Source organism: Homo sapiens, chromosome 8, assembly GCF_000001405.40.
Source record: "Homo sapiens chromosome 8, GRCh38.p14 Primary Assembly".
Classification (NCBI taxonomy): Eukaryota; Metazoa; Chordata; class Mammalia; order Primates; family Hominidae; genus Homo; species Homo sapiens.
Window position 1 is genome coordinate 105,926,544 of NC_000008.11, and position 17,792 is coordinate 105,944,335.

A 17,792-nucleotide genomic window follows, 5' to 3' on the forward strand; every position below is an offset into this window, starting at 1 on the left:
ATCTCAACTTGAATTGTACCTCCCAGAATTCCCACATGTTGTGGGAAGGAACCAGTGGGAAGTAATTCAATCATGGGGGCCAGCCTTTCCCATGCTATTCTTGTGATAGTGAATAAGTCTTATGAGATCTGATGGATTTATCACAGGTTTCCATTTTTGCTTCTCTCTCATTTTTTCTCTTGTTGCTGTCATGTAAGAAGTGCCTTTCACCTCCCACCATGATTCTGAGGCCTCCCCAGCCATGTGGAACTATAAGTCCAATTAAACCTCTTTTTCTTCCCAGTCTCAGGTATGTCTTTATCAGCAATGTGAAAATGGATTAATACACTATCTATAGCATGAGATACTATTTCATGACCACAAGAATGGGTAAAGTAAAACATTAATAATATCAAATGTTGGTGAGAATATGGAATAATCATTACTCTTATTCATTTTTGGTGGGATCATAAAATGGTGTAATTACTTTGGAGAATAGTAGTACAGATGCCTTACTGATAGAAATATATCTACTGCATGATCCAAACATGGATGGTTTGCCTGACAGCACCCCCAGAGGACTCAGACAACAGTCAGTAACAACTACTGGACAAGTGAATAAATACTCCTCCAGAGGATTCTAGCGCTCACTCATTAAAAGCCAACAATTTTTTAGTCTTCCCAGAAGAGACCCTAGACATCATTGAGCAAGAGAAAGTCATTTCTGTATCCTTACTGTGCTTTGTTTGAATCTCTGTTCCACAAATTTGTGAAAATCATAAAGCAGTTGGTTTAAGCCAGTACAATAACTAGACCAGTAAACTTGGGGTCATCGTTATTTAGTAATAATAAGTGGGACAGAAATTTGGGAGCTGGAAGTAGGAAGCTAACATGACAAAAACATGGCATTGGCTCTGAAACTGGATTAGATGGGAGCCAGAAGAGCCTTGGGAAGGCTGTCAGTAAAGGCCAGATGATACCGAGGGAGACAATTATGCAAGCTGGAAGGACAGGGAGATAAGTGTTATTGGAAGCTGGGGTAAAAAAGATTTTTTTTAAAGTATTACAAAATTTAGCAAAATTGTTCCATGTGACAACATAAAAATAGAAAATATACACCTGACAAACCTGATGATCTAGACAAGGAGATCTCCAATAAAAGTGTTGAAGGTGCCTCCTGACCTCTTTGAGCCACCTGTAATAGAATGAGAGACGAAAGAGTTTTTGAGTAAAATTTGGAGGAAGGTACAGGAAACTATCCTGTACACTTTACAGGATAGTTTCAGCAGCAAACTATTCTCAAAGAAAGAGCCTTAAGCCAAAAATCATATCAAAGGTGGATATCCTATACTTGCAGGTGATTCCAGTTTCTTAGTCTTTCCTTCTGAGGCCCCAGACATCTTGGAACAGAAAAAAAACAAAAAGCAGAAGCAAAACAAAACAAAATAACCTATCCCTGTGGCACTCTGTCTAGAGTCCTGACCCAGAGAATTGGTGAACGTGAAAAAATGATTGCTTGAAACCCCTGAGTTTTGGGGTGGTTTGTTATGCAGCAATGGTAGCAAGAACAGTAAGAAAAACAAAAATGACCCCTTTTATCTAAGTTGTCAAATTTTCTGGAATCTGAAATGAATATAGCAGAAGTGAAGCTGACTGACTTTGAGTGTACTTCAGAAAGTGATACAGCTTCTTCCTTGTGGGTAGAACGGTACCTTTGGAGACCAGAGCTTCCATGTATGAAATGCAATTACTCTGAAGTTGCCATGCTGTGAGGAAGCCCACGGCACATGGAGATGTCACATGTGGGTTCCCAGTTAACAGCCCACTTCTCAGGGGCCAGCCAGCAGCCAGGCTCATCTTCCAAACATGTGAGTGAAAATACTTGCAGAAGATTCCCAGCTCCAGCTTTAAATTTGCCCTCAGTTTTTTAGTCTTTCCTGCTGAGGCTCCAGGCATCTTGGAACAGAAAAAAAAAACTATCCCTGTTGTGCCCTTTCTGGAGTCCTGACCCAGAGAACTGTTGAATGTGATACCACTGAGTTTTGAGGTGGTTTGTTATGCAGCAATGGTAGCAAGAACAGTATGAAAGACAAAAAATGGTCTCTTTTATCTAAGATGTCAAATGTGCTGACCTAAATTTGCTCACACTCTTTATTTATTATCCTTTTAATATCTGTAGGATCTGTGGTGCAGATTCTATCATATTATGTTACAGGAAAGCTTTTTCTTTCCTGCTATTGATGATTTTTATTTCCTCTCTTTTTTACTTAAGTCTACCTAGAAGCTTGTGAATTTTGCTTACTTTTTCAAGGAGTTAGCTTTTGGCTTTCTTAATTTTTTCCATTGTCTCTATGTTTTCTACTTTCTTGATTTCTGCCCTTTATTATTTCCTCCTACCTACTTACTTTAAGTTTATTTTTGCTTTTTTTTTCTAGCTTTGTGAAGTGCAACCTTAAGTCGTTGAATTTAGATCTTTCTTCTTTTCCAATATAAGTACATAAAATTCTGTTTCCATCCAAGCACTGCTCTGTGTGTATCCCACAAATTTTGACACAGATTTGAATTATCTATTTGTAGTCAATTTCTACTTCAATGTGTTTATTTTAAGACTAGTTGAGTGCAGTAGTGAGAAGCAGGGAAAAAGTAGAACAAGGAGTTCAATGTATAACTGACTGTGAACAATCAATTGAGATAATTCACTACCTTTGGGCCTAACTGCAATGCATTTTTATTTTTACTTTATCAGACACTACATTTCAGAGAAGAGGAGAACCATGTTAGCAAAACATGGTCTTTTCATACAATAATGCCTAAAAATCCTGCTGTATAATTTTCACTTAAATTAATGGTCATTTCACCTCCATGTGAAATAAAGTGGAGAAATTTAAAAATTGCAGATTTTAGTAAAAAATCATTGAAAATAATGATGAAAGCAATAGGATATTTTATCTGATTGCATCATCATGTCTATATTTAAAAGGGAATAAAAAACAGACATACCAGCTTTAGTGAATACAAATGACAGGAAAGAACAGCTGGTGCTACAGTGCACTTAGAACACATGACACATAATTCTCTTATATTATTACCCTGTGAGCCCTACATAGGTAAGCAGCCCCTTCAGTGTATGAGAACACCTGTGATTAGCTCCAACCAGGGAAGTAGCAGCAATGGGTGTTCAGCTAATCAAGAACAGATTGATATTTACAGTTGATCACTGGGTTTTCTTTTTGACCAGTTTCTAATACAATTATTCTGAAGCCAGTGGCATTTCATATTACAAGGGTAAAAGTATTTTATTTAATTTATACTACTATTCTTTTTAAAGTCATTAATCTACAAAATCTATGAGGTTTTAAGTCATATATATGTGATTCATATGTGATTTGGTGTAGGAGGTTTGACATTTGCTTACTATTGGCTAATTATCATTTGTTTTATATGTACTCGTTCATTTATTATTTTCATCCCATAAAGAGAGTTTTTCTCTTTTCAAATATCCTGTCTTTAAATGAAGAAATAGAAAATTTCATAGAGATTAAATAATTTGCCTAAAGTAACATAATAATTAGTTTACACAAGGTTCTAACCTAGGTCTGTTTTCATCAGTTGCATTATGTTGGAGATTTATTTATACTAGACAACAAGCCCTTTTTTCCATTTCAACTGTAATATTAATTCCTCTTTGTCACTTTTGTTGACAATTAAATGGCAAACTAATTACCTGGATGGCCAAAATATGCTGTTATTATTTATTATTAATCAGTGTGGTGTTGTCATGAAAGCCAGGGAGAAACAAGTGAGGACTGGCCCTCTCTCTCATCTCAAATTTAGTTATACTTGAATTGCACTTGAAAAAGCACACTGCATCCCATTACTGGGTATATACCCAAAGGAATATAAATAATTCTATTACAAAGACACATTCATGCACATGTTCACTGCAACACTATTCATGATAGCAAAGACATGGAATCAACCTAAATGTTCATCAGTGACAGGCTGGATAAAGAAAATGTGGTACATATACACCATGGAATACTATGCAGCCATAACAAACAATGAGATCATGTACTTTGCAGAGACATGTTTGGAGCTGGAGGCCATTATCTTTAGCAAACTAACACAGGAACAGAAAACCAAGTGCCAACATGTTCTCACTTATAAGTGGCAGCTAAATGATGAGAACCCATGGTCATACAGAGGGGAACAAGAAACATGGGAGCCTCTGGGAGGGTAGAGGTGGGAGGAGGGAGAGGATCAGGAGAAATAATTAATGGGTACTAGGCTGAATACCTGGGCAATGAAATAATCTGTACAATAAACTCCCTTGACACAAGTTTACCCATGTTAGAAACATTCACATGTACTCCTGAACTTAAAATAAAAGTTAAAAAAAGTATACTGCTGTAAGTTTGGGGTCCATAATCTTAGAAAGGTAACATTAATAAAGAAAACGGTTAGGCAGGTAGGTATTTTACTTATCAGTGTTATGTTCAAAATAATTTTTCATTGATGCTTGTTGATATTTTCAGAATTTTTAAAATAAAAGATGTTTGAGAAAATTTGCAAATCAAGATAAATAAATGGATTTATTAGGATACGATATTGTGGATTAAGTGGACTATGAGGTTTTATAGCCTGTAAGAAGGAGTTTAATACACCTTTCACGGGGCTAAGAGCCTGCAACACAGAGGAAACTGTCAGTTTTGGATGTGTAATTCTGAAGGAACAATATTAAGGATTTTTAACTTTTTCCTAAGGATAATTGGAAGCCAATAAGGATTTTAGGCAGAGTGGAGACATCATAATATACTGGGTAGAGAATGACATAGAAGAGGTGTGGACAGAGTGAACAAAACAGAAGTCAAACATAGATCAATTATAATGCTCTAAGTGAGCAATAATAGTGGCTTGGACATATATGGTAAAAAGGGGTCTGGGTTAACGTAGATAAAAATAATTTGATAATAAAAATAATTTGATAAACAATAGCATTTGGTGATTGATTAGGGGTATAGTGTATTAGAGAGGAAGATGTAAAGGAAAATGTAGAGAAGAATTTTCAGACACATGAAATTGGATAAGAGGTGGTACCATTTACCAAAATAGGGATCACAATAAAAAGAGCAGATTTGAATACTAGGAGTGAAGATCATGAACTCATCTTTGGGGTAAATGAAGCATAAGAGGCCTGTGAGGTGTGTGCATGCAGGGATTTAATAGAAAAGTCTGGTATAATTTGAACTATCATCTTTTATTTCTTGTTGATCTTTAATCTTCTACCATCATGCTAGTTTATATCCCACATTGGTTCATGTTGCATTGTTCTTTGCTTTAATATGTCAAAAGCATTCAAATATTCAGTGTATATTTTAATGAAAAGCAAAATACTCAGCCAGGTAATAATGCATAGTACTTGTATGCCAGAATTCTGAGTCAGCAATGATCTCATTAACTTTATTAATATCTGTAGATGAACTATAATAGAACAGCTGAAAAATTATGCCCATTCATCTTCTAGCCAAGCCTAACAAGGGGAAGAATATTCAGGAAAAAAGGCTGGGATGGGATAGTGGCTTCAGGATTACAACAGCTTGAGGGTGGTAGTATGAGATGTTCCTCTACTTATCAATGATAATACCTGAATATATTCCCGCATGTCAAACATTTCTATTCATTGTAACCAATAGCTTCCCTTCTCCTCCCTGTGTTCCTTCTTTGTCCCAAATCCTTCTGATGACTTATTTTCTCATGCAGAGGAAAGGCCAATTTCTTACTCTGACCTAAAGACCCCAGAGTCTGTCCCCTTACTGCCAGTCCACTGTCATGTTCCACTGTTTCTACTTTAATTCAGTTCCATAGTCTTCCTTGATGGTCCTCAAATCAGTCAAAACCTTGATGGTACTCAAATTTTGCCTGTTTCAGGGCTTTGCACTTGCTGTTCTGTCTATCCAGAACACTCTTCCCCTACTGCATGGCTCACTTGTACCCCTACATGTACTTCACATCTCCACTCAAATGTCTCTTATAAGGGAGGATTTCCCTGCTTACCTATATGAAGGAGTGCCTCTCCTCATGACTCTGTCCCCTGTCTGCTTCTTTATCCCTATATCACTTAGTGCCAGATGATGTAAATTTACTCATTTATTTTCCCCGTTCCCAGCCCACCCCAATCTAGAAAGTAAGCTCCATTAAGGAAAGGTCTTGCTTTGTTCATTATTGTATTTCCAGCACTCAGAAAAATTATAACACAGAGTAGGTGCTCAATAAATAATTGTTGGAAGAGTGAGTGGATGAGTGGGTTACTGGAAACTGCAGGGTACAGGTTGCAGGTAACCCGAGAACCACTGTATGCTCATTCTGATCATTAGAATGTTCTGTGTGTATTTGTTTTAATCACTGTCATATAGAAGCCTAATTTTTTCATTCATTCATTTTTTAATTTAGCTTTAGGTTTTTGGGTTCTACTCTTCGTTGATCTGTTTTTTTTATGTCAGTGTAAATAAAGTGTGTCTCTGTTCTGAAACACCACCTTTTATTCGTCCAACAGCCCACTGATTCTCCCTATTTGCACCCCCACAATACTCATGCTCCATTACTGTGTGTACTGTAGCCCATAAATCAAAGTCCAGCAACTCATTTAAAGAAAACTGTCACTAGGAAAAAATCTTTTTCAGTTGGTTTGTGTAATTTTACAAAAATACCAGCAGATGTTGCTATTGCAACATCTTGATTCTTAGTCTTTACCTGTCCTGAGAGGCACAATAATACTGTCACAGAGAGATATCAAGATTTTCTAGGAATGATCCTACTTTTTGGGTTTTAGACACTTCAGTGCTAAAGAAAGGGACATCCTTAGTTCTGTTTCTTGTTCATAGTGACAATTGCTTAAGGTGTAGGTCTAGCAGAATGTATATGCCCCAGATTAGGTATCTCATTTTCTCAGATATTGTGGAATTGACTACTCAAGGCCCATCATTCTTGAGCTTAAGGAAATGCCAATTCAGCTTTGGCCTAATTCACTAGATAGGGTCGTCACCTTTAAATTGTTTCTGCCTATGTGGCCACTCGGGCTGCTTCTACTTTAAAACCTTTAAATTATGTTCCTCTGTTGAAACGTCTCTGGGCAAAACCATACAATGATAATAAATAAAAGTAGTACAGGGCTTTATACTATGCACAATTTCTTCAAGCATATTTTTTTCATATACATCTTCATAACAACCCTCAGGGTGACACATTATAAATAACTTCAAAATAGAAAATTCATAAATTAGTCAAAAAGTTCTGTCACTGTAGGCAACAACATATAGAATTACACATAAAGTTATTTATAAATTTTGAATTCAAATGTAGAGACCATGTGGAGCCCAGGAAAATGCACAGTCTCTGAAAACGGACAAACTGAAATTTTTATCCTGACTTCATGGCTTTGTAACTCTGACTTTTGGCAATATACTTAGCTTCTCTGACCCTCAACTTCCTTATTTTTTTTTATATATATATATTTTTATTACACTTTAAGTTCTAGGGTACATGTGCACAACGCACAGGTTTGTTACATATGTATACATGTGCCATGTTGGTGTGCTGCACCCATTATCTCGTCATTTACATTAGGTATATCTCCTAATGCTATCCCTCCCCCCTCCCCCCTCCCCCAACCCCACAACAGACCCCTGTGTGTGATGTTCCCCTTCCTGTGTCCAAGTGTTCTCATTGTTCAATTCCCACCTATGAGTGAGAACATGCGGTGTTTGGTTTTTTGTCCTTGCGACAGTTTGCTGAGAATGATGGTTTCCAGCTTCATCCATGTCCCTACAAAGGACATGAACTCATCAAAAGCTGGAGGCATCATGCTACCTGACCTCAAACTATACTACAAGGCTACAGTAACCAAAACAGGATGATACTGCTACCAAAATAGAGAGATATAGACCAATGGAACAGAACAGAGACCTCAGAAATAATACCACACATCTACAACTATCTGATCTTTGATGAACCTGACAAAAACAAGAAATAGGGAAAGGATTCCCTATTTAACAAATGGTGCTGGGAAAACTGGCTAGCCATATGTAGAAAGCTGAAACTGGAACCCTTCCTTACACCTTATACAAAAATTAATTCAAGATGGATTAAAGACTTAAATGTTAGACCTAAAACCATAAAAACCCTAGAAGAAAACCTAGACAATACCATTCAGGACATACGCATGGGCAAGGACTTCATGTCTAAAACACCAAAAGCAATGGCAACAAAAGCCAAAATTGACAAATGGGATCTAATTAAACTAAAGAGCTTCTGCACAGCAAAAGAAACTACCATCAGAGTGAAGAGGCAACCTACAGAATGGGAGAAAATTTTTGCAATCTACTCATCTGACAAAGGGCTAATATCCAGAATCTACAAAGAACTCAAACAAATTTGCAAGAAAAAAACAAACAACCCCATCAAAAAGTGGGTGAAGGATATGAATAGATACTTCTGAAAAGAAGACATTTATGCAGCCAACAGACACATGAAAAAATGCTCATCAACTTCCTTATTTTTAAAATGTCAAGAAGGAAATCCACTTTTCAGAGTGGTTGCAAATGCTAATAACTCAAGGAGCTGTTACTATAGTAGTTTGTGTCTTTTTTCACATATGTATGTCATACCGAGTACTGTGTATTAACCCAGGAGCCCCAAACTCATATTTCTACAACCTGTTTGAGAAGTCACTGCGCTTGGGACTTTTTGTGTGGGGTCAGATAGATCTAATTTGGATAGGCTTAGAAGAGAGGAATTATTGTGAATTAATTTAATCTAATTTATTTTATTTTTTAAAGACAGAGTCTCACTATGTTGCCAAGGCTGGAGTGCAGTGTGACCAAGGCTGGTGCGACCTTGGCTCACCGCAGCTTCTGCCTCCCAGGTTCAAACAATTCTCATGTGCCAGCCTCCCGAGTAGCTGGGATTACAGGTGTGCACCTCTATACCTGGCTAATTTTTGTATTTTTAGTAGAGATGGGGTTTTGCCATGTTGGCCAGGCTGGTCTTGATCTCCTGACCTCAAGTGATCCACCTGCCTTGGCCTACCTAAGTGCTAGGATTACAGGTGTGAGCCACCATGCCCAGCCGAATTATTGTTAATTTATACAGAAGGATCTGGCCTAGAAAAAAAGAGAGATGTCAATGATTAAGAACAGCTTGCTAGTTAGCAGCACCTGTACGATGTGATGATGGCAATACTTAAATTATTCTGGCCAGTCCGGTGAACTCAGTGGCTTAGATTGGCCAAGTACTCAAAAAATGAGCAAAATAATCTGGACATTACAAAAAGATATCATAAAATTCATGCACTTAATTCATAGGAATGCCCATGACATTTTACATGTGATCTGAAGTGTTGAATGATCTAGTTTAGAAACTCAAAAAACATGAAAGGCCAGCAATAATAAGAGGACAAATGAATGCTTCTAAAGACAGATACCTTTTGCAACAAACAGTAAGTGCTTTCAGCCTAAGTGTGATGGGGAAGACAAAAATAAAATCTAAAAATTGGTGGTAAGAAATTTTAGACTGGACAACGTAGCAAGACCCAGCCTCTACAAAAAATTTAAAACCTTAGCTGGGCATGTTGGTGTATGCCTGTGGTCCCTGCTACTTGGGATGCTGAGATGGAAGGATCTGTTGAGCCCAGGATGTCTAGGTTGTTATTAGCCATGATTGTGCCATTGCACTTTAGTCTTGGCAAAAGAGCAAGACCTTGTCTCCAAAAAGCAAAATAACAAAAAAGGAAACCTGAATATCCAATATTCCATGACTAAGTCCTACCTGTTGGATTAGCCCTGGGAGCCTCGTTGTATAAAATTACAATACAGTCATTTACACTGAGAATGGTGACCCCCTCAGCTTGAATAGTGTATAATCAATTTTGGAAATAATACCATTTTCAACATGCTTAGGGTTATAAGTGGTCAGCTTCATTTTTTTTTGATTGAATGCTTAATGAAACACTTCATTTTTCTCATGATACTGAATTTTTAATGTTTTCTGAACTATAGAAATAATATTTTTAGGAAAAGATCATAGATTCTTAAATAACATATTTAAACATTCTGATTCATTCATCTATTCATTTTTATATTAACCAACTGCTTATTGAGTTTATTCCCTGTGTGAGACACTCTTCAGAATGCGTTGAAGAGTCTGATCTTTCTCTGTTTTTAATAACCTTTCTCCTTGTGAGAAAAGAAAGAAAGCATATCAGTGCAGTTACAATTTATGCAAGACTCTGAAGCATTTTTTAATGCTTTGGGACAACTACTCAGAGAAAGCTGTAAGAGTACAAATTACCAAACAAATCCTATTATTCCTTTCCTCCTCCTTTATAACTGATGCAACAAATGAGAAAATGTAAATGTAGCATATTGCAAATCGGTGGCTTATAAGAAATACACAAGTAAATGAGATAAATATTTGCCCAATGAACAAAAATGTAAATATGTTTTTTCCTAAGAGGATACGATCAAAGGTAGATGATAAATAACTTCTTAATAAAAGTGTATAAGAAGCTAGTTCTTTTTACTTGATCCAAATGTACCATTTCAAATATTTGTAATGCTGCTCTGGAAATGCATACTTACAATATCTAAGTCTAAGTTTATCCAATTGAAACCAAGAGCAGGTCTATTGATATGACACGGTTTGGCTGTGTCCCCACCCAAATCTCATCTTGAATTGTAATCCTCATAATCCTCATGTGTTTAGGGAAAGACCCAGTGGAAGGTGATTGGATCATGGGAGCAGTTTCCCCCATGCTGTTCTCATGATAGTGAGTTCGTTCTCACGACATCTGATGGTTTTATAAGGGGATCTTCCCCCTTCGCTACTCAATCTTCTCTCTCCTGCCACCATGTGAAAAGGTGTTTGCTTTCCCTTCACCTTCTGCCATGTTTATAGGTTTCCTGAGGCCTCCTCTAGCCATGTGGAAGAGGTCAATTAACCTCTTTCCTTTATAAATTACCCATTCTTGGGTACTTCTTTATAGCAGTGTGAAAATAGACTAATACATGAGATAACATATGAAAATACAAATCCAAACCCCGCTTGGCAGTTTTTTCCTCATTTTTGTTTCTGTACTTAATGAGGACTCCAAAATTTACAGAAGGTTCTTAAACAGAATCAAATATGTTGGCTTGTCAATGCCTAGAAATACATTCCACAGTGCAGGTCCTGCTCCTTTGTTGATTTTCACTTTCCTCAAAATGCTTTTGTGGTTGGAGTTGTGTTCTCTTGAAATATGTTTTTTAATAGTAAACAACTAAAGAGGGAATTGTATCATTGAGTCAGTGAGCATTTTATGAACATAGAATCTACATCACCAGGAGACAATCAGATGTGTTAAAAAAAAAAAAAAAAGAAAAAACTAAGAAAATGTTGAAGGACTCAATCAGTGCTTTCGTCAGAAAAGTTCTAAATCCAAAAATTGGCCCCACTCAATGAGTACTTGTACACAGTACAAAAAACAACAATTTTGTCTTGAGATGTGTGTGAGATGCTGATGGCAATTACATTCAGACTCCAATTTAATATTATGCAGGCAATTTATTGATTACATGTCAGATCCTCAGTTGTTTTGCATATATTTTCCATTAATGGCCTCAATGATCTTCTGAGATATTACAGTCATCTTTTTATAAATGATTAAACTATCATTCAAATGATTTTGAATGGCTTTTCCAAAGCCACCCAGTGGGTAAATGACAAAAGTAAGGATTTAAACTCTTTTGTATGATTTTCTTTTTTCTTTTTTTTTTTTCTTTTCTTTTCTTTATAGATAGGGTCTTGCTCTGTTGCCCAAGCTGGAGTGCAGTGGCACAATCTCAGCTCACTGCACCCTCGACCTCCTAGATTCAAGCTATTTCTCCTACCTCAGTCTCCCAAGTAGCTGGGACCACAGGTGTGAGCCACCTGGCCCAGCTGGTTTTATTTTATTTTATTATTTTTTGTAGAGATGGGGTTTTGCCACGTTGTCCAGGCTAGTTTTGAACTCCTGGGCTCAAGCAATTTGCCCGCCATGAACACCCAAAGTGCTGGGATTACAGGTGTGAGCCACCAGTTCTGGCCTCTTTGGTATGAGTTCAAGGCCCATACCCTTTCCACAACTACCATCTAACTTTATATATATATATATATATATATATATATATATATATATATATATATATATATATACATATACATAGATGAAGTCTCGCTCTTGTTGCCCAGGCTGGAGTGCAATGGCGCAATCTCGGCTCAAGCCACTTCTGCCTCCCCGGTTCAAGCAATTATCTTGCCTTAGCCTCCTGAATAGCTGGGATTACAGGTGCCTGCCACCACACCTGGCTAATTTTTGTATTTTTAGTAGAGACGGGGTTTCACCATGTTGGCCAGGCTGGTCTCGAACTCCTGACCTCAGGGGATCTGCCCGCCTCAACCTCCCAAAGTGTTGGGATTAGAGGCATGAGCCACCACACCCAACCTATCTAAATTTTTATAATGTTGAATTGCTTCCAAGTTGAACATGAATATGACAAAGCTCCACTATCTTTCAGTATGCCCTTCTGTGCCCAGCATCAGCTCTAGGAAAAAACTAGTTAGATTAGTTGGCCATTCTACACTTGTTCCTAACATACCTTCCATCTTGCTGCCTACCCCCGTGTCCACACAATTGAGGTTCCCATCTAGTTGCCCACCAGCTTATCTCTACTCCCTTCGTCTTTTCATCCATTGTATATTTCACTTAACTCAAGTCTCCTCTCCACATCCAAATTTGGGGTACTGTGACATTTCAGACAGGGAGAAATTCTTGCACCAAAGGCCTTCTGTTTCCCTATGAGGAGGCTAAATCTGTTGAGCATTATACCTATCATTTCATACATATTTGAACATTAAAACTAATCATCTGTGGGAAATTAAGATTCCTTTTAATAAGGAAACGAAATTTCTGGTAATTCATTAGTTGCCCCAATGTGAAAAACACATCACAATATTTGTTTTAAACTTTCTTGTGTCATCATTTCAGAATTCTATCATTTGGTTTAAATTGTGTTTTGAGCCCATGTGCAATATATTGATATTGGCTAAATTTTTATTATTATCTACACTTTAAAAATGGCCCCCAAAGCTTGCAAACTTTTCTTATGAGAGTCATACTGAGAGGAGAAGACTCAACTTTTTATGCCTATCTTGTACCCTAGATATTTAGATCATTTGTTATCTGTTTTCCCTTGTAAAATATACACTCCATGAGACAGAAATGCTTATGTTTCATTCATGGCAATAAAGTCCAATCCTAAAACAGTGCCTGATACATACGTTTTCAACAAATATTTGTTAAATAAATGAATGTCCCTTGCATCATTTGGCTGTTTCCTAATAAAGCATGGTTTGTTAATATCTTGCCATAATGGCTTTCATCCTCTGGCAGTACATTAGCTTGTCAATCATCTTTTTAAAATGTGGTTACCTTGTTAAAAATGCTGAAGCACATAGAACTGGTTCAAACTTGATGTTAGTTTACCCACGACGTCTCTTCACTAAGAGTTCGTGTTCTGTTTTCATTTAAAATTCTTTTCAAGTATTGGCTGGAATTTGGCCACAAGATGGAGTGGCAGCACAAAGTAGATAGAGTTATTTAAATAGATTTGGCCATCGTTGTTGCAATGAAGTGGCTTGAATGATTATTTTTGTCTTAAAAGCTTGGGGGCATTTTAACTATTTATATTAGTTATCTACTTTAATTTGGTGATCTTTATTTGGTGATCTTCATCCATTGAGAGAAAGAGATGACAACCAAAACCACAAATCCTCTGATCCCAAGAATACACCACTTTATATTTACCTATTGACTTTCTTTACTTACACCTTCATTTTAAAGGATATCTTTTATAGTTTATCACTTGTCATTTTGGTCATGTGTTTAATAACTGGTTAAGCCTCTTAGAGACACTTGAATCAGGAGTCTGGAGATATCGGTAGGGTATATGATCATTTATGTGAAAATCCTACTCCATTTCATCTTATCTCTAATCCCCAATGCTATAGGGTCATCAACTGTCCGTCTCAAAGTCCCAGTAGAACATAATTTGTTCCTGTAGTAATTAAATGAGGACAAAACTCAATATAATGAACACCCGTGCATAAGATAAAATTCATGATTTGGACAGACCTAAAAGAGCCTCTGACTCTTCAATGCACTCGACAGAAATTACTCTGATGTCTTTACTACACTTCAATCAAACCATCGATGGATTTTGTTTACGTCTATGCTGTTTTCATTTTGGCAACTAAACTGTTTGTATCTAATAAAATGAATATAGTCTAGAATTCAGATAAACTTAGCCATCTTCAATTACTAGTTATTTGCTGAAAGCATGTAAATACATATTTTTAGGCCAACTCTTTTTATTTCAAAAGTTTTTATTTCGGCCAGGCGCAGTGGCTCATGCCTGTAATCCCAGCACTTTAGGAGGCCGAGGTGGGTGGATCGCTTGAGGTCAGGAGTTCAAGACCAGCCTGGCCAACATGGCAAAACCCCGTCTCTACTAAAACACAAAAATTAGCTGGGTGTGGTGGCACACGCCTGTAATCCCAGCTACTCAGGAGGCTGAGGCAGGAGAATCACTTGAACTTGGGAGGTGGAGGTTGCAGTGAGCTGAGATCATACCACTGCACTCCAGCCTGGGCAATAGAGCCAGACTCTGTCTCAAAAAAAAAAAAAAAAAAAATTCTTTATTTTAAAATGAGAAAAATTTCTTAGGTGTAAACAGATTACCACAATTTTTGATTTGTCCAACAAAATAAAGAATTAATATTTATTAAGTATTATATAAACACTGTCAATATAACTTAGCTTCAGCATAAAATAACAAAATGTACGATCTTAAAAATAAAAAAGAATTTTTTCACCGTGCTCTTCTAATCTTCACTCTAAAAGAAGCTTATAAAAGGAGAAATAAAAAGACTTGAATTTGTTTTAATTTTTTAGAAAAGTCCTATATTTGGATTTGTCAAAAATTTACCTTTTTATGCAGTCTTATACCTCCAAATGCTAACTTTTTCTTTGAGATATATGAAGATTCAAAGCTAAAATAAAATGAAGTAAAAATTAAATAGCTTTTCTTCAATATGAAAAAGAGTAAGTCGTACTTCTCTAAAGTCCATTTTCGGATAACTAATAAGGTTATGAATTTTGAGCTAGTGCAATTATGTACAATTACGCTCCCTTTCTTTCCTTCCAAACTTCAGTTACATTTTAAACGAATTTGTTTCTTTTTAAATGTTTCAAAATTTTGTACATATTTTTAAAATCATTGCTAAATTATCCCTCCAGAAGGCAGTATGATCATGTCAGTGGACATGAACAGAGCAGGACTTTCCAGAAAATAGAACAGATAAAATCAAATGCTATTAAATAACAACAGAGTAATGGCTGAACGTATTTCTAATTTTCTTTCCTTTCCTTTCACTCTCAAAGGAAAAACCACAACATAAGATCCCAAAAGGGGAGCACAGAGAAGTGAAAACAGGCATTTTGTTAGGATAGTAGTGAAAGGAAGCTAAAAGATGGAGGGAAAAAAGCTTTAAAGGGAATGCATTTTTTCCAAATAATGTTAGATGTCATTTTCTTCTGGAAGCCTTTCCTAACTAATCCTCAAGGTCTGAGGCAATGTTCTTCTTAGGCACTCCTGGAACCTCCTGTATTTCCTATGCCATACTATTTCTCACACTGAATTGTTATTACTGTTTACTTATCTATATCACACACTACACAGTAAGATCCATGAGAGCCTCTATCAGCTTTATATGTCCCGGGCCCATTAAAGTATTTGTCACATAGTGGCTTCTCAATAAATATTTTATGAAGGGAGGAAATATTTTACTAATACATGGATTTAATTACACACACACACACATTATTCGGCAATTATAATATAAGGTGTCTGGACAGCATTTCTGGTATCAACAGCTAAAATTTCTGGATAAAAAAACTTTAAAAATATTTTCAACTGCATGGCTGAGTTGGCATAAAAGTAAGAGTAATTCCAGAAGTTCAGATAGAATGAGGGCACCCAAATCTGGAGAGAAAAGGATTGGCTGGAGCTGCTATTCTCCTCCTAGCACCTGCTGATACCTGGCAGTGCACAGACTGGACTCAAACATACTTTGCCCAAAAAGGAGAAAAGACAAAATCTTGTTGTAACTTGAGAGTTCAGATCAGAGACTCTTGTATAAAATCAATATACCTCCAATGGAAACCACACAACATAAAACACAAAAACGGGAAAATACAAAAGAAGACAGTGAAGTTATTTATTTGTTATATTTTAACTCTCTGCAGAGAAGAAATAGAAAATACATGTCTCTACAGTGAAAGCCATTATGGGTCATTAGTTTAATGTTGATCCTAGATGACTTGAAAAACCAATGCAAATCCTTTCTGGGAGAGGGCATCTTAAACCCGAGTATAAAAAAATAAAATGAAATAAGGCTGGGTGCAGTGGCATGAGCCTGTAGTCCCAGTTATTTGAGAGGCTGAGGTGGGAAGATCACTTGAGCCTAGGAGTTCAAGGCTGCAATGACCTAGGATTGCAACATTGTACCCCACTCTGAGCAACAGAATGGGACCTTGCCTCAAAAATAAATAATTAATTAATAAAATGAAAGAACCATGTTCCAAGCAATCCGATGTAATAATTTTAAAAATTGAATCTCACTTAAACTGCAGGTATTTAAATTTAAATTACCAAATATGGAACATAAAAATAGTAATTTTTTAATCTTTAAAGAAATCAAAGTAGATACTAAAATTATAATACATAAATAAAAGACTTTTAAAAATAACTAGGAAGCTTTAACAATAAAGTAATCTGAAAGGGAAAAAATTAATGATTGCTACTAGAGACTCAATGGATGTGTTGCCTAGCAGATTAATCTGAGATGAAGAAAGAATTTCTCAACTAGTGATAACTCTCAAGCAAACTGCTTAGAATGCAGACAATGAGATGTACTGATAGGAAATATAAAAAGGTAAAATGAGAAGAAAAATATTGAATATACATTTAATTATTTCAGGAGGAAAAAAGAGATTATGGTGAAGAAGCAATATTTGAAGAGTTAGTGGCTCAGAACTTTCTAGAATCAATGAAAAACCTCATTCTTTATATTTAACAGAACCTAACAAACACTAAACATAATAATAAAAAGAAATCCATATCACACATATTGTATTTCAACTGCAGAACATTAAAGATAAAGAGAAGATTTTTTTAATTTAAATTTAAATTTTATTTTATTTTAAGGTTATTTCTGTATAACAACCCCGGCTGGAGTTGAAGGGACAGAGGGAGGTGGTAAGAGGACACTTTACCTACAAAAGAATAATAATTTCCACAGGGCTAATTTCTAAACAGCAATAAAAGTCAGAAGATGGTGTATTAATATCTTCAAAATACTGACAAAAAATAACTCTCAACCTAGATTTTTATAAACAGTGTAACTACCGTTTAAGAAAAAGAATGAAATGAAGATATCTTCAAGCCAAGATGAAGAGTATAAAGTTGTGAGAGAGGCTAAAATGGTGAACGAATTATTCTGCCTTATCAATTCTAAAGGAACTAGGGAGGAAAAATGAAGAAAACCGGAAGAAACCCCTGGAGTGATGCTGGGGATAGGAAGCTATTTTTAACTAGTGTGTATGGAGGGGTGTGGATTTGGCCTAGGATAGGAGATAGCCTGTCAAGATTATAAACATATATAAAGATTTAAAGAAAATAAAA

The 17,792-nt window shown here is 36.2% G+C and overlaps 1 long non-coding RNA gene across 2 annotated transcripts in view; it reads right to left on the reverse strand.

Moving 5' to 3' along the window:
• Positions 1-17,792, reverse strand: part of ZFPM2-AS1 (ZFPM2 antisense RNA 1) — a 280,094-nt gene that overhangs the window by 146,134 nt on the left and 116,168 nt on the right. The window contains exon 2 of one of the 2 annotated variants that reach the window (NR_125797.1): positions 1,108-1,174. The exons of the other annotated variant lie outside the window; for it this stretch is intronic. This is a non-coding gene — a long non-coding RNA (ZFPM2 antisense RNA 1). The remainder of the gene's footprint in view (positions 1-1,107; positions 1,175-17,792) is intronic. 2 annotated transcript variants of the gene reach the window in all.